At 48.5% G+C, this 20,170-nt stretch overlaps 1 protein-coding gene across 15 annotated transcripts in view, besides 1 other annotated feature; it reads left to right on the top strand.

Annotated features, from left to right (window-relative positions):
- ZBTB7C (zinc finger and BTB domain containing 7C) overlaps nucleotides 1-20,170 on the top strand; it is a 385,914-nt gene that overhangs the window by 80,258 nt on the left and 285,486 nt on the right. The gene's annotated exons all lie outside the window — the stretch shown is intronic.
- Nucleotides 13,773-14,274: an enhancer, noted in NCBI's record as "NANOG-H3K4me1 hESC enhancer chr18:45844425-45844926 (GRCh37/hg19 assembly coordinates)". NCBI's record gives its function as "activates a minimal SCP1, AML or CMV promoter by ChIP-STARR-seq in primed H9 embryonic stem cells {active_cell/tissue: H9 hESC(primed)}" and the evidence as "EXISTENCE:reporter gene assay evidence [ECO:0000049][PMID:30033119]".

The following is a 20,170-nucleotide window of genomic DNA, read 5'->3' as shown; positions in this document are numbered from 1 at the left end:
CTAACTACCAATTTCTACCTGAGCCAAGGACTTGTGGAAGGCCATCACCAAGTTCAGACCAGTGGGGAGCTTCCCAGGACCAGTAACCTTATTTCTTTCTCTAACATGACTGATGTTCAGGGGGAAAAGGGGATGGGGAAGAGGGAATTGTTATAGACTGAGAGAATCTTAATAGATGCACCAACCAAATGCAATCGATGAGTCTTGTTTGAATCCTGATTCAAGCCAACCTACTGTAGAAGGATATATTGGAGAGAATTGGGTTAAATATTAAGGAATTAGTGTTAATTTTTTAGGATGTGTAATGCTGTGACAGTGTTATATACTGAAGTAAATTCAGACAACATGATATGATATCTAGAATTTTCTTCAAAATATTGCAGAAAAAAATTTCAGAATAAAAGATTTTAGTGAACAACATACACAAACATTTTGTGTCTCTTTGAACATTTCAGTGATTAAAAAAAGAAGTGGAAATGTTCCTACCAGCTGGCTGAGCCCTGAAATTTCACCATTAGAGCTTTGTTTATCTAGCTTAAGCCTTTCTATGCCAATAATATACAGCTTGTCCTGGGAGCGTGGTTTACCCTTCGGGAAAGTGACAGTACAGAACATTTGCTCAGTATAGAATACGGTAGGGTCACATGCAAAAAGATTTCAGGGTAAGGCAAGTTTGGAGAAGGCTGCACTGAACTAAGCCAAAGAGATTTCTTCAGAGCCTTGGTGATGCTAATATACACTGTACCTCTTGGACGGGGATGGGCTATCGTAATGCAGTGTGCCCCAAAATTATTTGTTATGTGCTTCAAAGGAAATAGAAACTTTGAGTCCCTCCAAGGAAAATCAGAATAAAGTTAGAATCCTGGGTTCCAGAACTGTTTCTGGTTACTCACTAGTCATTGGGCAGCCACTCAGATTCCATGCTGCACGAGCCTCAGTTTTTCTATCTGTAAAATGAACTTAATATCACTTGCCACCTACCTCACAAGAATGTGACATGGCTTTGTATAGCATAAAGCCCAAGATCGAAGGATAAGTTGTGTGATTATTATTTGGTACCATTTTCTGAGACTTTGGTCCACAAACATTTCTTGGTGGCTCATGCAGCATGGCTCTGTCTGCAAGGTGCCGTCTAAGACACAGAGGTGGGAAGACAAGTTCCCTGTCCTTCGGGAAATCATGATGGAATTGGGGAAGCAATGAAAATACACAGGGATGGAGGCTAGCAAAGCCTTCTGGCCCCCGGGACAAATGAGTGGTTCAGGTTCAGAGGAAAGGGGGATCACTCTTGGCTGGGGTGGTGTGCAAAGGCCACCTGGAGGAGGGAACCCTTGACCTGAAAGTCTGGGGCAGATTTAGATGGGCTCTCCCTTTGTTGGTTATGGATCACTTGGTTGGAACACTGCCCTTGCCTCCGCACGCCCACATTCTGCAGCTGAGCACATAAACCTTGTTTGGATTTCAATGCTATCTGACTTTGGGGGCCCAAGTCCTACCTGTCCGGAGCTGGGGTAGATGCTCCCCCTGCCCAGCCCTCACAGCCACTCCCATCTTCTCTTCCATTCTGTCTCCACCCCCTTTTCTTCTTCCCACCAGGACCCAGCAAGGCTGGGATTACTCATCCTGCCCACACTCACTCAGTCCTGCCCTCTCTTTTCAGTTTTTTTTTTTTTTAAATACAGAAACCACTGGGACAAAGCAACAAAATATGACTCAGACACCCAAGCCTTCATGTGGAAATGTTTGTCATCATCATCATCATCATATCACTTTTTAGGGCAGTGAGAGATGACAAACTCTAATGGAAACATTGGAAAAGGCTGGCAGTGGTGACTTGAGTGGAGGTGAGGGGATCTGAGGCACACCATGAAGCTGGCCCGGTTTCTTGGGTGCAGAGAGCTGTTTGGGGGCACTGACTCGCCTCACTGAGTGTGCATGGAGTTATTCAGGATGTGAACAGCAGGCAAGAGCTCATGCTACCTAAAAGTCCACATCATCCTTTAATTTGCACAGCAGAAATTAAAGAGAAGGCCCTAGAAAAGGATGGCACTGTGGTGGAGACCTCAACAAGGTACATTCCGTGCCCAGGTGCCCTGCTCTGGGCCATGCCAGGATTTAAAGACATGCTGGGGCATGCCCTGTCCTCAAGAGCCCTAGACAGAGCTTAGCTCCCTCCGAGCTTGTTAGAAGGCTACGCATAAGCTATTGCCAGTACTGATATTTTGGGAAAGGACTTACTCAGTGCCTGGCACAGAGTTGACCCCCACTGTGGACTTGCACAGCAACCACAGAACCTCAGCTTTGAGCTCAGAGAGCCCTGATGTTGAGTTCTGGCTCTGCCACTCGGGGAAGGTGACAGTCTCCCTGAGCCTTGCTGTCCGCAAGTGTAACATGGGGAAAGCAAATCTCCCTCCCGGGATTGTTGTAGGTGCAAAATGAGATGACATGGACAGTTCTTGATCCAGTGAGCCCTCAACAACTTTTAGTTTTTGTCCCTCCCTACTCTGCCACTGAGGAATAATAAGACATGGGGCGAGATGCACTGAGCCTCAGCTTCCTTATCTATTAAATGGAAATAGATTGCCTGTCTTACTGACCCTAAGGCGAGAGTTTAATGGACAGTGTCGGTACAAACACTTCAAGGAGTACAAAGAGTCAAACACTAAAGATGCACATATGTGTATTCATATGTGCAAACACACATACATAAACTGCACCCAGAAGACAAAAATCTCAGGGTGGAAAAATGTGTTTGCATTTTGTAGTGCAGGTGGTCTGGGAGGGTGACAGATCAGCACCAACTCTGGACTGGCTTGGGTTGTACTTTTGGTTGTTTTACTTTCTCAGAGGTTGTTTAGTTTCCTTTCCTTCTGCAGCCCCTCAGCAGAGTGTGGCATGGGGGCAACAGCAGCGCCTAGCTCTGCCTGTCAGCTTTGCACGCCCCTGAACATGTCACTAATCACTTCTGCAGACACAAAAATGGAGGTTAAAAAGTACCAGCAACAGGGCACAGGGGATCCAACAGGATGATGAGTTAAAGCCTTTCTGCGTTGTAAAGTGGTGGTCAAATGGAAGAGGCCGCTGGGCCTTCCAAGCTCAGTGGAATAAGAGGTTTAATAATACTTGTTAATTGATCAATGTGTGCCCTGCCATTTTGGCTGCCTTTTGAGGAGATGGTGGTGATTATTTTTATATTAGAGAGAGACTTCTTAAAGAAGCCTTCTCTGACCCTGTGTTGCTTTTATGACTCAGAGAATATATCTTCTCCCAGCCCTGGTGGATAACAGTCAGGTGGCCACTGGGACTGAGACCAGCCATCCATTTACCCACTCATTCTAATTAGTTTTGTAACTCAGCACTCACTCTGGGCTTTGATTTACGGTTAATGGTTCATCTTTAAATGAACACTTGTCTGGAATCTTCCATCAGTCAATGGCTGACTTTTAGGAAGTGGCGGTATTGACCTGGCGGCCATGTAGTGAGTCCTGGAAAGTGAAATTTAATTTTTTTTTTGTGGGGCGGGGGCAGTATTTCCACTGCTTTTTCCCTACCAGGCACATCAAGAACCCTCCTCCCCTAAAAATACACTCATTTTAAGGCTACGTGGTATATGGAAAGAGTACAAGACTGTGAGTCAGGAGATAGGCGTTCCAGCCCAGCTTTGCCATGAACTCACTGTGTGCTGCCAACCACGAGACCTCCCTGGGCCCCAGGTTCCCATCTGATGGATGGGGCAGGGTTGGGAGGGGGGTTCCTCCCCTGAGCCTCTGACTTACTTTGGACATCATTTGGGCCAGCCCAACCAGGTATATAGTAGATATGCAGTAAATTTGAAAGATCTTTGTTCAAATTACAAAAATAATAACTGCTTTGTATCAGAAAAAAATAACAACATAGAAGTATTTAACTTCTATGAGAGAGTGAAGGAACTTGTGATACTACCCCTCATCACCACAGATCATCACTATCTACAATTTAGGGAATTGCTTTATCTATAGCCGGATCCACATCCGTGTCACTGTCTATATCTCTACTGTTACCATGGATCTGGAAAATAGATACATATTAAACAAAAATGGGATCAAACTAAATATTATGTTCTTCAGCTTGTGTTTTCACTTAATTTCTTTTTTTTTTTTTTTTTTTGAGACAGAGTCTCGCTCTGTCCCCCAGGCTGGAGTGCAGTGGTGCAATCTCGGCTCACTGCAAGCTCCACCTCCCGGGTTCATGCCATTCTCCTGCTTCAGCCTCCCAAGTAGCTGGGACTACAGGCACCCGCCACCACGCCCGGCTAATTTTCACCGTGTTAGCCAGGATGGTCTCGATCTCCTGACCTCGTGATCCGCCCGCCTCGGCCTCCCAAAGTGCTGGGGTTACAGGCATGAGTCACTACGCCCGGCCTCACTTAATATCTTAAAAAAACTGTTTATATATATGGCCGTAATTCTTTATAACATGGTTTTCTGTAATATGGATATAATTCATTAATCAGACAATTAATTTAACCTCATGTATGGACATCTGGGTGGTAGCAGTAACTTTTAATTGATTTGCTGTTTGGGTGCCCCCCTCCTCCTCCAATAAGGGGTCAGAGAAGAGACGGAGGGGAAGAGCATGTTTGCACAGCTGAAGCCTCCATCCTCAGCTGAGGGCCCTGCCCTCTCTCATCTCCAGCGATTCTTCTCCAAGTACTGTGGCTTAGCAATGCCAGGTTGTGGGGCATTGTACCCCCAGAGCTTTGGCACTAGGGCCAAAGCTGGGATCGAGACTGGGAACAGTGAGGAAGGCCCTGGGAGGGTGGGATGAGCAGTGGATCAAGTGTGCTCATGGCTGTGAGCTGGGGATCAGTGAGTTCACGGCAAAGCTGGGCTGGAACTCCTATCTCCTGACTCACAGCCTTGTGCTCTTTCCATATACCACATGGCCTTAAAATGAGCGTATATTTGTGAATCAAGTGTGCTGGTGGGGTCCTGAGAATTTGAACACTGCGCTTAGTACAGTGTGGTTGTTCCTGGAACCACAGGGCATCAGGAGCTGGGATGATGGTGATTCGGGGGTGGGTCATGGAGCAGACGTGGGCATAGCCCTCCAGAGAAGGGCAGGCCTCGAGTGGAACTGGCCTGATTCAGGTCCCAGGCCATCCAGCCTTCCTAATCTTTTCCACGAAGAGACAGAGAGACCAGGCCACTGTGACCAGCCTGAGCAGGCTGCCCAGCAGACCGGGCTTTCTCTGTGCTCTGTTCCCTCCTCCTCCAGGCCAGAGGCTGGTGACTCACCCTCCACTTTCTGGGCTGATGTGAGGGTGGGAACCCAGGCATGGCACCATTTGCATCCATTTTTCTGAGAAGGCAGAAGGGAACAATTTTTGGCTCTTGCACCTGCAGGACTTTGTGTTATTATTGCGTTTCCTCTTGTGTTTAGTTGGATTAGAATTTTTGAATAGGCAAAACATGAAAATCAAATGCTTTTACAGAGGTATACACTAAGATTTCTCACTCTCACCTCTGTCTTTTTCTACTCCATCCCTGCCCCTGTTGTCCCCATAGTGTTTATTTGTGCTAAAACACAGAAATTCAAGTATGTATTCTTAGTTTTCCATTTTACCCTATAAAACATAGCCTATTGAATACTCTGTACTGCAACTTGCTTTCTTATTTCCTTAACTATACATCTTGGAAATACCTCCATATTAGTACAGAGCACTTCTTTAGTTTTCTTTCTTTTTTTTTTGATTGCTCTGTAGTATTCCACTATATGCATGAACAGAATTTATTTAACCAGTCCCCTATGGAGGGACCGACTTGGGTCATTTCCAATTTTTTTGCTTTTAAAAACAATTCTACAATCCGATGTCAGTCTGAACTATTTTGTTGTATGTGTGTGTGTGTGTTTAATTACAGACCACCCCAAATCTTTTTTAGAAGAAGGTAGAGGCCGGGCATGGTGACTCACGCCTGTAATCCCAGCCCTTTGGAAGGCCAAGGCGGGCAGATCACTTGAGGTCAGGGGTTCGAGACCAGCCTGGCCAACATGGTGAAACCCCGTCTCTACTAAAAATGCAAAAATTAGCTGGCCATGGTAGCACGCACCTGTAATCCCAGCTACTCGAGAGGCTGAGGCAGGATAATTGCTTGAACCCAGGAGGTGGAGGTTGCAGTGAGCCAGGATTGTGCCACTGCACTCCAGAGTTGGTGACAGAGCAAGACTCCATCTCAAAAAAAAAAAAAAAAAAGATGTTGGTAGAGTATGCATTATCTATAAACAGATAAGTGAACAAGACTTTGTTCCCAGGTCCTTATGCTCTGTCCCCCAGCACTTTAACCGAAATGCTTGCCAAGATACCGTGTCCTTTGCTTGCCTTCCTGAGCTGTTAGATAATAGTCTTTGCTGTCATTTCCTATGGTGGTTTTGGTGAAGACTTATGGGTCCTGAATCCAGTGGTAGGAATGGCCATGGCCTACACTAGTCAAAGGATGGATTCCAGTCCCTGATCTGTTGCTGGTGAACTAAGTGACCCTCCACAAGCCCTTTCTTCACCTGTCATGCAGGTGAGCTACATGACCTGAGATACTGTCCCATGCTGACATTCCGTGGTTCTACAAGCAACCAAATGATGTTATGCACACTGTTGAAATCCTCAGGCCTTGGATATCAAATCAAAAGTCACTTTCCCAACCTGGGGCCTTGTGCTGGCAATCCTTTACCTCCCTGGGTAGCTGGAGCACTTTCTTCAATGTGAAATCAAAGCTTTGATGAAGCTGGCCTGTATGTGGTAATAAAATGATGCCCATGTGCACATTCCTATTACTCAGTAAGTACATTCATTTGGCTGCAGATTTGTGAAAGCCTTTCATTGCTAGTGCATGAAAAAGGGGTATTTCACACATGTTTCATATTAGCCCTGTGATTTAGCTTCTGAGTGAATAAGAATCAATGCAATGGCCAACTGCCACCAGAGATCCCATTTATATTGTATTACAGGCTGCTACGGCCCCACCTTTGACTGTGATCTTGTCAGATCTGATAAGGTAATAGTAATAATAACTTAGATTTCCATTATGTGGGCTCTTCCCCTCCAAGGCATTCCTGCTGCATGTGTGCCTTCTTTGTTTTCTATCTGTGCTTGTCCAGGGTGTATCTGAGTCAGCCAGGGTCCTCAAAGTGAGTTTCATCTTAGAAAGAGGTCTCAGGATCACTTATCAATTAATCAGTTAGTAGACCAATCAGTCATTCAATCCCATGTTACCATGCACAGCACCTTTCAAACTCAGTGTGGCCAAAGGGAGCTCCCGACATAGTCCCCACAGCCCTGGGAACTGACTCTGTCCTGTAAACAGCTCCATTGTCCTCCTGTCTGCTAACCCTGCTTCTACGCACCCTCTCGCATCACATCCACGGTGGCTCTGCCCGCTCTGTGTGTTAATGCCTCTGGACTCTGCCACTTCTCTCTGCTCCTGAGTCGTCATGTGGTCCAGCTCACCACCCCCTTCCCTGGACCAGCCCAGACAGGTCCCCCGGCGTTTCCTGCCACCATCCCCAGCCCAACCCAGTCTTCACGCAGCACACAGGAATTGCTCTGCTAAGCATGCTTATCTGAGCATGTCATTCTCTTATTTAAACCCTCTCATAGCCTCTTCTTGCTTTTAGGATAAAGGTAAGATATTCTTCTCAGGGCCTACAAGGTTCTGCTCACCTCATCAGCCTCCTCTAGCATCCTCTTCCCTTTTGGTTTCTCTGCCCTTATGAACTCATCACCTCCCATAGGCCCTAATCCCATCACCCTAGGGATTAGGGTTTCTACATGTGAGTTTTTGGGGTATCCACACATTCAGACCATAGCATCACAGTTGTAAATAGATGTCTCATTTATTTACAGTTGTAAATAGATGTTTAATTCCTAATCCACCTCCTCACTGGAGGGTAAACTGCATGCCTCACTGACACCTGAACCCCAGATCCTGGCTCAGCTCATAGTACTCTTTCCCATCTTAGGGTGGTGTGCACACTGCTCTCTTGGGGTGATGGCTTCCCTTGCCTTCTCCGGGTTGACTCCAGCTCACCCATCAGAGGGCAGCTAGATGGTCCATTCCCTGGCCCTCTGGGCTGGGTTGGGCCCCTGTTTACATGCTTCTTAGTCCATTTGGGCTGTGGTAACAATATCATAGACTGAGAGTTCACAAACAACAAATTTGCTACTCACGATTCTGGAAGCTGGGAGGTCCAAGATCAAGGTGCCAGCAGATTTGGTGTCTGGTGAGGACCCACTTTCTCATAGATGGTGCCTTCCTGTACCGTCTTCACATGGTGGAAGGGTCAAGGCAGCTCTCTGGGGCCTCTTTTAAAAAGGCACCAATTCTATTCATGAGGCTCTGCCCTTCTGATCTTATCACCTCCCAAAGGCCCTAATCCCATCACCATTGCGATTAGGGTTTCAGCATATGAGTTTTGGGAGTATACACACATTCAGACCATAGCATCACAGTTGTAAATAAATGTCTCATTTATTTACAGTTATAAGTAGATGTTTAATATCTGCCTCTTCACTGGAGGGTAAACTGCACACCTCATTGACAACTGAACTGCCGGATCCTTACTCACTGCACAGCCCACAGTAGGAGCATGTTAAATCACTGGGTGAAGGAAGGTATGAGCAAGCTGTGTCCTAAAGGGGCAGGGAAATACAAAGAATACAGGATCCCCAGTGAACCCTCATTTTGTAGCAGCAAAATCAAAAGAATGGCAAAGTCATAGAACTGCAAAGGACTTTGGTGGTCATCTCAGGCCCACCCTCAGCTTTAAGGGAGGGAGTACAGACCGTGGATAAGACCCACATGGGTGAGACCATAGGCTCTGGAGTCAAACTGCTTTGTCTTGTTGTGTGCTCCTGAGCAAGTTGCCTAACTTCCCCCATGCTCAATTTCTCCAGCTGTAAAATAGGGACAACGCCTTCCCCAGAGGAATGTTGTGAGGATTATATAAGAAAACCTGCAGAAGGCACTTATCATAGTACCAGCCCTGTACAAATATTGGCCAGAGGGTGACACTGAAGCCCAGAGATGTTAGACCTCCTCACAAGATCATACCATTCCTTAATGCAGAGTCTGGCTTTTTTTTAAATTGATATTTTCTTTCAATTTTTTATTTCCATAGGTTTTTGGGGAACAGGTGGTTGGTTAAATAAGTATGTTCCTTAGTGGTGATTTGTGAGATGTTGGTGCACTCGAGCAGAATACACTGAACCCAATTTGTAGTGTTTTATCTGTCACCCCTCCCACCCTTTCCCCTGAGTCCCCAACGTCCATTGTATTATTCTTATGCCTTTGCATCCTCACAGCTTAGTTTCCACTTGTGAAAGAGAACATATGATGTTTGGTTTTCCATTCCTAAGTTACTTCACTTAGAATAATAGTCTCCAATCCCATCCAGGTTGCTGTGAATGCCATTAATTCATTCCTTTTTATGGCTGAGTAGTATTCCGTCATATATATATATACCACAGTTGCTTTATCCACTCATTGATTGACTGATATTTGGGTTGGTTCCACATTTTTGCAATTGCGAATTGTGCTGCTATAAACATGCAAGTGCAAGTATCTTTTTTGTGTAATGACTTACTTTCCTCGGGGTAGATACCCAGTAGTGGAATTGCTGGATCAAATGGTAGATCTATTGTTAGTTCTTTAAGGAATCTCCACACCGTTTTCCACAGTGGTTGCGCTAGTTTACATTCCCACCAACAGTATAGAAGTGTTCCCTTTTTATCGCATCCACGCCAACATCTGTTATGTTTTGATTATCAGAGCTTGGTTTTCTGAACTGGCCACCCGCTGAGCTGTCTCTCAGAAGTGCTGACATGGTTCTTGCCTTCCTGAGGCCTCCCGTCACATTGCTATAGCACAGTGTTTCCTAGCCAGGATAATTTTGTCCACTCTCTTCCAGGGGACATTTGGTGGTGAGGTCTGGGATTGTCCCAGACTTGGGAGGGGAGTGCTGCTGGCATTGAGTAGGTGGAGGTCAGGGATGCTGCTAGACATCCTGCAATGCCTGGGACAGCCTCCCTTCCTCTCCCCACCTGACACAGCAGCCCAGAGTGTCAGTGCTGAGATTGAGAAATCCTGCTTAGGGTTTATAGGAGGGCTATGGGCAAGCCAAGTCCACTGGAAACTAATCTGATGAAGGCCATCGTCTCTAAGGAGGGGCAGGAGGAAGCTAGGAAGCCTCTCTCTAGGGAAAATGGCCTCTCTTGTTTGGGGCTATGCAGGGATGGAGGCCTGGAGATAGAACTTAGAGGCAGGTGTGAATCAAAGGAGCTGTTTGGAGCAAAGATAAAATATAATAGGGACAGCCTGATCCGCTGTGAATGGGGTCTGGGGAATAAGAGTAATTTCTCTGAGTGTTGGCTTTGCCAGAACCTTACAGACATCAGCATCCACCTCCTCCTTCCATCCCATTTACCAAACAGCCTCCAGCTCATTGGAGATTGAGATGGGGGTGCTTATGCAGAGATGCTGCTCTCGGCTGGGGCGGATCGGCACGCAGCCTGCACCGTGCAGCCCATCTTCAGTGGCTCTGTGAGCAGGCTGCTGAGGCTGGCTGCCCTTGGGAGGTGTGAGGACGCAGGGGAAGTGTAAATCACACTCCATCCAGTTTCCCCACCCCTAGCCCAGCACCATTTTCACCTAGGGAAAGTCTAATAAAAATGCATTCCAAGTCCTCGTCCTAAAGGGGCAAGGATGGGGATGGGGAGGAGCTGGGGAGGGGAAGCAGTCCAGTGCAGCTTTGATTGCAGATATCTGAGCTGCAGGGCTTTTCTGGCCTTAGAATCAGCCTGGGGAAGCTGGTGGTCCTGGATATCCACTCAACTCTCCAGGCTGCGAGGCGGTCCTGCAAAAAGTCCCAAGTTTCCAGCCCATCATGTGAGGTAGGTGGGTACATGCTCTACCCAGCACAGTGCCTGCCAGCTTGGGTACAGTCAGCTCATCTCTGGGCTGAGCAAGCCCTCCAGAGGTGCCTCACATCTGTGGAGGATGCACCAGCCAGGGCTTTGTCTGGGAGAGCAAGTGGCTGAATGGAGGCTTGTGGCATGACACACCCACAAGGGAGAGGGACAGGGGAGCTAGACCAGGCCACCTGAGCAGTGGTTCCCCACCCTGGACTGCATGTTAGAATCACCTGGAAGCTTTGAGAAAATTCCAGTGCCGAGGCTATATGCCAGACCTATTATAACAGTCGTGGGGTGAGACTCAGGCACCAATAATTTATGAATTTCTCTAGGTGATTTCAATGGGCAGCTAAGGTAGAGAACCACTGACATAAAACCTAAACCTTCCTGGGCTCTGACAGTCTGGCCACATTGAGGCCTATAATGAGGACACAACAGGACCCCTGGTTGGAGCTCAGGGAGGCAGGCATGGGGCTGGCAGGCCCTGGGTGGGGAAGGATAGTCAGCCCCCTGGCCGCACAGATGGTCAGGGTTTCTGGTCAGGCTGGCTGTAGGAGGAGTTGGGAAAGAGCATGTGGAATCAGAGGTGGTGGCCGCCTGAGCCGGGGTCTGAGAAGCAGGGCCGCAGCTGCCAGTGCACTTCCTGCAGCTGGCAAGTGCCCTTCAGAACTGCAAGGGAGGGAAGGAGACAGGAAGTGCCCACTGGGCTTGGCCTCTGATATAGCATTTAGGGTAGATTTTATATTGCATGTCTGGCCTTGGCTGTCAGCCTGGGAGCCCCCAGGAGAGCAGCAGCTGTGTCATCATGATATCCGGGGTTTGGCCGCTTCTCACCTCTTCCACTGTCATCTCTCAGGTGCTGGCAGCCGTCACCTCTCACCTGGATTAGCACAATAGCCTACTGATTGGCCTCCCAGCCTCTGCCCCCAGTTCTCCTAGGCGCAGCGGACAGCAGGATCCTCTGACATGTGTCAGATGTTTCCTGCCTTGCTGAGAGCCTTCCAGTGCCCTCTCCCCACCATGTCACTCAGTCAATGCCAAGTCCCCACAGCAGCCTGCAAGAATCAAATGACCTGTTCCATCTTCCCACCTACCCATCTACCCACTTCCCCCTCGCTCCACTCCCGCCACACTGAACCCCCTGTGCTAGCGCATTCTTGCCTGAGGGCCTTGGCCTGGGATATGCCCTTTGCCTGGAAGCTTGGCCTCCAGAACCCTCATGATCCCTCCTTCTCCTTCTTCTCCAGTTTGCTTGCATGTCCCTTTCTCGGTGAAGCCTTCTCTGCCTGTCTACTTCCTGTCTCCTGAATCTTCCTCATTTCTCTTCCTAACACACTTGGATATCAACATTTTATCTTTTGCTTACTCATCTCCCTGCACTGGAATGTGAGCTCCCAGAGGCTGGGAATTTTTTTCTATTCTATTCACTGATATAAACCCACGGCCCAGACAGTTTCTAGCCTGCAACTGTCACTCTGTGTATTTGTTTCTGTTTTCCCTGCTTTTGAACTATTGGTATTTAACCACAATATTTGGCATGTGACAGTCTCTTTATTGGTCTGTGTGTGGGCTGCCTTTATTTAATTATGTATTTACTTGGTTGTTTTTATTAATGTAATAAGCACCCAAGAACCCATTGCCCAAAACAAAGCTAAGATTGGACAAATGCCTACATCCAAACATTCCCGGGCCTCCCACGGCAACCATTTTATTCCACTTATATATATTCCTAAAAATATACATTTTATTATCATTACTTTTAGCCTTGTTCAAAGCCTGTTATGCTGTATGTAATCACTGCAGCCTTTTTCACTTAATAATGTATTCAGATCCACCTACACCATTGCATGTGCCATGCTGCTTTCCTTTTGACTATAAAAAACATGTGTGGAGTGAATATTTAGCATTACGTCCCCCCATAGTGCCAAGGTCATAATCGTAGCTAACATCGATTAAGTTCTTTCTCTGTGTGAGGCACTCTGCTGAGTGTTTTATTAACCCCATTTAACGGATAGGAAAACTGAGACAGAAAAGGTAAGCAGCTGGCCCAGGATCACACCCATATGGCTTAAAGGGGCAGAGGCAGAATTTGAACCCACACAGTGTGTGTGGCTCCAGAAAACTTGCTTCTAACCTTGTACTACACTGTCTCTCTAAATGAACACCTGAATGAGCTCACACACACACTTTCCCAGACCACCAGCCCCAGAGGAAGCCCCACTGATTTGGTTACAAATCAAGGTTACACACACACACACACACACACACACACAGAGGCATTCTGGCATCGTTCATGAATACTCGTTAATTGACACAAAATTTATGGTAGGAGAAAGCGACCTTACTCTCTGATGCTTGCTAAGATCCTTCTGTCTCCCATAGCCCTCTGTCCATCTCTCTATTAAAATAAAATGCAGCTGGGCCTTGTGTTTACAGGGGTGGGGGCTCAGAACCTACTCCAGCAGGCTGAGCCCTTGGGCTTGGTTGCCAGGGGAGGGGAACAGGCTGGAACCTGTGACATGTTGGTTCTGGGAAGAAGGGGCCTGCTTGGGGCCCCTCCATACCAGGGACCCAGAAGACGGCGGGGGCCTCACTCAGGAGTGCCCTTCTTGGGGAGAGACTCTTTGAATATTAGGAACCAATGAAAGTGGTGCGGAGCCTGAGGGCTGGGCACAGGATTCAGCAAACAATAGATGCTGTTGAGAACAATCGCCCCTGCCCCAGGGGGTGTATGCAGCAGGGCCAAGTTCAGGCAAATAAGTGAACACTGTGGAGGCTTTGGGCCCAAGCCCAGTGTTGGGCTCCTGTGAGCTGGGCTGGACCAGAGGGAGGACGTGGGCCGCAGATGCGACCCTCCTAGTGTGAGGAACAGCCTGTCGCCATGCCAGCACTGATTCAAGGTCTAGGGCAGCATGGGTCTGCAAGGGGCTGTGTGGAACTTGCCTCCCTGACCAGCCGGGAAGGCAGAAGGGGCCTCTCCAGGAAGCCAGAAGCCCAAGAACCAAGCAGGTGGGCCTCTAGCCCAGAGGCTTCATCTGGAGGGATGGGGGCAGGGGAGGACTTGTGAGGGGGGGTTGGTTCCCAACCAGTCCTATGGGAGGAAGAGAGGAAGAAAACAGAAGTGAGTTTTGGTTTGTTTGTTTTTTGGTTGTTTTTTTAGGTTTTTTTTTTGTTTTGTTTTGTTTTTTGCAAGGGACATGTTCTGCTGTCATCAATAGGGGGTGGCAGAGAGCAGAAGACAAACAGCTAGGCCTCCATGGGTCACAAGTCCACCTCAGCCCTCAGTTTCCCCATCTAGAGGGCCTGGAAGCCTTGGAGCTGAGGGCATGTGTGGCGACTGAAGGGCTGGGCTATAGCTAGTGCGCATGCGCCTCAGTAGGGCCCCTGAGATGGGCAGGGGGTGAGGAAGGAGGCAGGGGTCCTCCAGCAGAGGGGAAAGGTCTGCTGAATGTCGGGCGAGCTGTCTCAACCCAGGCTGCATGTTAGAATGACCCTGGGATCTTCTGAAATTCTGATGCCCTGGCCCACCCCAGACCTACAGGGTCAGAATATCTGGGGATGGACCTGGGATCTGTATGTTTCAAAGCCTCCCCAGGTGATCCTTTTTGTTAGCCAGGATTGAGAACCACTGGCTCTGCCCTCAATAGCTGCAGGACCTGGGACGTTGACTTGTATTGCCTATAAGCTGGAGATGGTAATAGTATATGTCACATCGAGGCTGCTGTGAGGTTTCACTGAGATGCCATGTGTAAAGCTTGGCACGTGGCAGCCACCTAGGAGGAACCTATCCAGTCAGCCAAAAACACTGGTGCCTCCCTGTACTTTGCAAACAAGCTCTCGACCTGGCATCCTCAGAGCAAAGGCATCAGGGACACAGGACATTTGGGGAGACGTTTTGTTTCTGGAATCAGATCGGGGTGAGGCTGGCCTAGGGAGCTGGGTCAAAACAGTAGGCACTGCCTTGTGCCAGAGACTGAGGTCAGGGCTGAGCTGAGGCACAAGTTGAAGATCCCGCTCCACTAAAGGCTTTAGCTTTGGCTGTGATGTCTGTCTAGGAGCAGTTTTTAGCCAAGCCTGCTGAAAGGGCCACATTTTTTGAGTGTCTTTTTTTTTTTTTTTTTTTTTTTTGAGACGGAGTTTCACTCTTGTCGCCCAGGCTGGATTGCAGTGGCGCAATCTCAGCTTACTGGGTTCAAGTGATTCCCCTGCCTCAGCCTCCTGAGTAGCTGGGATTACAGGCGCCCACCATCACACCTGGCTGATTTTTGTATTTTTAGTAGAGACAGGGTTTCACCATGTTGGCCAGGCTGGTATTGAACTCCTGACCTCAGGTGATCCCCTTGCCTTGGCCTCCCAAAATGTTGGGATTACAGGCGTGAGCCACTGCACCTGGCTTGTTGAGTGTCTTCTATGTGCAAGACAAGTTCGCGTGAATTATTTCACACAATTCTCACAGCAATCATGTGTGATGGATACACATATCCCCATTTTACAGGGTCGGAAACTGAGGCCCAGAGAGGTGTGGCAGCTTGCTCATCACCACGTAGAACGAGGTCTCTTCATTGCCTCCTGTGTTAGTTCTATAAAGGAATACCTGAGGCTGGGCAATTTACAAAGAGGCTTATTTGGCTCACAGTTCTGCAGGCTGTGCAAGCATGGCACCAGGATCTGCCTGGCTTATGGTGAGGCCTCAGGGAGCTTTTAATCATGGCAGGCAAGGGGAGCTGGCATATGGATGGCAAGAGAGGGAGCAAGAGATGCCAGGCTTTTCAAAACAACCAGCTCTCCTGTGAACTATAGAGCAAGAAGTCACTCATTGCCAAGGGCATGGCACCAAGCCATTCATGAGAAATCCACTCCCATGGTCCAACACCTCCCACTAGAACCCACTTCCAACACTGGGGGTCACATTTCAACGTAAGGTTTGAAGGGGATAAACATCCAAATGATATCACCCCCATGCTGCAGCGGCCTTCCTGCTACCATCACAGCCTGTGTTTGCCTGCTCAGGCTAGGGGCTGGGGGTGGAGGAGGAGTGGTGGGGAGATGGGGTCCCGGCTCTTCAGACACCTGTGACCCCACTTCAGGCAGCTCCTACTCCTAAACCCATACATGGAAGGATTGTTCTTTTCAAAGTCCTTTAAAACAAAAACTAAAACAAATCCCCTTCTATTTTCCATGAAGATTTTTAGTAACATTCTTTTGAAAATTCCAATTCTATTTTGTCTGTAAGGAAGGGAAAACATGAGGAAGGGAGTGTTCTTTTAAGCCCAGCAGGAGCCGGGTGTCCAGGTGGTTGATGGTGTGAGGCAGGGTCTGGGTGGGAGAGTGGGTGGGAGAGTGGGAAGCCTGTTGCCAGGTCTCTAGGGCTGGAGAGTTGATGCTGTGGCTCTCTGAAGACAAGAGGAGTGAGGACAGTGAAAATTGCTGATCCTTTCTTACGGGGGCTGGGCGCTTCCCGTGCTTAGGTAGACCTGAAGGGCTATCCTCCATCCACAGGGCCTCTCCATGGCCTTGATTATACATCTTTCCAGTTGAGTTATGCTTTAGGGGTAGGGGGCAAGAAGCTAATTGAGACCCCTAAGTATCAGAGCTGGACAGGTCCATTGAGTTCACCAGCCTAGAGATTCTCTGAACAGTTGGATGGGGTGGGGATGGGGGTGGAGCACAATTGTGCAGCCCCCTGGAGAGGCTGATCTATCCACGCCCATGAGGAGCCACCCTTCCTACCGGGAGTGTGGGATTTGAGGCTGAACACAGGCTCCAGTCTACCTCGTTACCTCCCACTTTGCCCAAAATGAGGAAACTGAGGCCCAATGTGGGAGGTGTTTCTTGGGGGTCCCCAGGCTAGTAGGTGGCAAAGCTGGGGCTTCCTGAGTACCAGGCCAGTGCCCTTTGCACTCAAACCAGGCAGGGGTTGCAGGGAGTGGGAGGAGAAACTGACTACCTTGGACATCATGAGTCCCTGTGGGGAGGACCGTCACTCCATTGAGAATCCAGATACGTGATCCCTCAGCTTTGCTTTCCTCACTAGATCACAGAAAACCTTCCGCCATTTCCCTGTGTCCTGTTGGGGTTTTGAATTTTCAAAAATCCCCGAGTCCTGTGAGCCTCATCCAGCGTTGGTTTGCCAATTTACCCCCAGCAAACTCCAGCTGTTGCTGAGTTCCTCTCAACTGGTGATCCTCTCAGGGTCAGCTCTCTAGGTACCTGCTTTATGCAGAAGTTGCTGTGTTCCGAGTGTCTCAACTCCCCTGGCTTCTGAAATCACACACATTTTGTCCCAACTCTAATTGGCACTCATGAAGGCATTCCCCAGGCAGATTGGGGTAGGCTTTGACAGCCCGAACAGAGGACAGAAGCTGCCATGCCCATGGTCACCATGCCCTCTGCAGAGGGCTCCTTTCATCCGAAGGGGCTGTGCAGACCCCCAGGAGGGGGAGCTGAGGGAAACCCATTAACAGCCGGCTCAGGACTCCCCTGCTGGCTGCAAACAATGCCTGCCTGCCTGCTTGTGAAGCACTTGGAAAATGGCTCATTAAAAATGAAAGCCAGGGTCGGGGCGGGCACCTCGGGTGGCCTGCAGCCTGCACCCTTCTCCCAGCTGTCAGCAGTCTCTAGGGGATGGGCTGGCCTGGAGGGGTGGGGGCAACTGTGGGCTCTTCCTTCCCTGGTCTCCAAGGAAGCTCAGCTGGAGAGCCCTTGTTGAAGGGGATTTCTGGAAGAGGCTGCTGTGTCTTGTGCCTGATTGGGTATACAGTACTGCCCATACCTGCCACCTCCCATCATCCTGTGCACTAGTCCTAGCAGCTCTTGGCCACTATATGCAGTGACCCCACCCTTTTGTCTCCTCTCTGGGCTCTCCTGCCCTTTTCCTCCTTCACTGGACATTTGAACTTCAGATAAGCAATGAGAAGTTTAGTAGTGGCAACTAAAAATGCAGCTAGGCATTGATACATGTACCCTAGGGAGCAAAATCATCCCTTTATAACTTGAGAATCTTGAGGGGCTTTTAAGAGGGGACTCTGTCATTGGTAAGTCTTAAGGTTGCTTTTGCCATGTTCCCCAGGATTTAGAGGGAAAGATCATTGTAGACGAACTGAAGCAAGAAGTTATCAGTAATCCCGCATATTGCACAGAACGCACTTATACTAAAAAGTTATTTGTTGTTTATCTGAAATTCAGATATAACTGAGCATCCTGTACTTTTGTTCACTAAATTTGGTAACCTTATTGTGTTAGTTCGTTCTTGCGTTGCTACGAAGGAATACCTGAGACAGGGTAATTTATAAAGAGGTTTAATTGGCTTACCGTTTTGCAGCCTGTACAGGAAGCACGGTGCTGGCCTCTGGTTCTGGTGAGGCAGGTGGTGACAGGGAGCTATCATGTCACATGCCAAAGCTGGAGCAAGAAGGAGAAGGGGGTGGTCCCAGACTCTTAAACAACCAGATCTCACATGAACTGAGTGAGAACTCACTCATCACCAAGGAGATGGTGCTAAGCCATTCATGTTCTGCCTATGATCCAGTACCTCCCACCGGGCCCTACCTCCAACATTGGGAATCACATTTCAACATGAGATTTGGAGGGGATGCACATCCAAACCATGTTACTCACCCACAGAGAAATCTCCCCACAATAGGGCTGGGTCCAAGCGGGATGACATCTGTATTCTGTGGCTTCTGTCCTTTGCAAGACCAGCTCTACTTACCCATGCCCCGGAGATTGCAGTTAAAACACGCAGGTTCTGACTGAGTTGATATAGGGCAGGGCAGAGACTCTACATTTCTAGCAAGCTCCCAGGCCAGTGCTAATGACCTCTTAACAAGGCCTATGCTGCTGGTCCAGGGACCATACTTTGAGTAACAAGGAACTAGAGCAGTGATTGCAGGCTGAACCTCAGGACTGTTGGGGAGCAGGGGAGGGGGTTTAAAAACGCTGCTGCCTGACCCCCACAATTCGGATCTAATTTGTCTGGACAGGGCCTAAGCACCAAGGTGATCTAATTCCCAGGCAGGCTTGAGAACCACTGCCCTAGGCTCACTCTTAGCAACTTCTGTCTGCACTTGCTGGCCTGAGGCCTCTGGATTTTGCTAGATACTGCTTAGACTCACTCCGAACTCTAGGGTTTCCATTTCCTATGAATGATGCCCCTGGAGCTGAGCATGACAGCCACAACTGGCCTGGAAAGCAGAAATCCTAGCTTTGAGTCCATGCATTGAATACTGTGTCATCTTGGATAACTCGCTTAATCTCTCTGAGCCTTAGGTTCACACTTATAAAGAGACGAGAGGAGTGATAGTTATAACAAAAGGAGGATCAGATGAACAGGACCTGATGCAAGAGCTTCTTGGGTCCATAATCAGGCATGGGAATATCAGATGAGTTGATGACAATAGGAATCGAATGAAGAACTATTACATTTAGCATCGGCCTCTGTGGTCAAGAAGGTTCACATGGAATCAGTTACGATGTATTGACATCCCTGCCCCGTAGCATCGTGGAAGAGCTTGTCCTGTTCACCACAGCCCAGGATATAACTCCATTCTCACATTATGGCTCACACACAGTAGGCATTCAAAACACACTGCTGAACCAATGATTGAGACACTGTTTCAGAAGCCTGGGACAGCTGGGCTTCTAGGGACACAGCATGTGACATGACCCGCACTGACTCCTATGGAGTACCTACTGTGTGCCAGGGACTCTGCTAAGCTTGTTAATTCTCACAACATTGCTGTGAGGTAGGTACTATTATTATCTCTGTTCTTCACATGAGGCACAGAGAATTTAAGTAGCTTGTCCAAGGTCCCATAGCTGGAAAGCGGCAGAGCTGGGATTTGAACCCAGGCAATCTGACTCCAGAAGTCATGCTGGTGAACATTGCCCTTTACTGCCTCTTAGAAATTAAGAGCCAATGAGCATAAAACCATGACAGAAGAGTCTTTACTTGGATACTTGCTGGAGGGGTAAAATAGAGTCCTGACACAAGGGATGATATGACTCATCGTAGTGCTGTGGGGTGGCCAGCAAAGGCCAGGAAGGGAGCTTGACAAGCCTTCTGGGGTTCGGGGTAGGTAGGGCTGAGCAGGCAGGATGAACAAGAATGCCAGCTGCCTGGATGGCCTCAAGAAGATCCCTGTGGGCTGGGAACCATGGGAAGTTGGCCAGCTGGTAGCAAGGCCCAGGAGGGGACTGGATCTCCAAGATGTGGCCGAAGCCCAGGCA

Source organism: Homo sapiens, chromosome 18 (genome assembly GCF_000001405.40).
Source record: "Homo sapiens chromosome 18, GRCh38.p14 Primary Assembly".
Taxonomy (NCBI): domain Eukaryota; kingdom Metazoa; phylum Chordata; class Mammalia; order Primates; family Hominidae; genus Homo; species Homo sapiens.
Note: the sequence above shows the minus strand (reverse complement) of the source record. Positions and strands in the feature narration are given on the sequence as shown.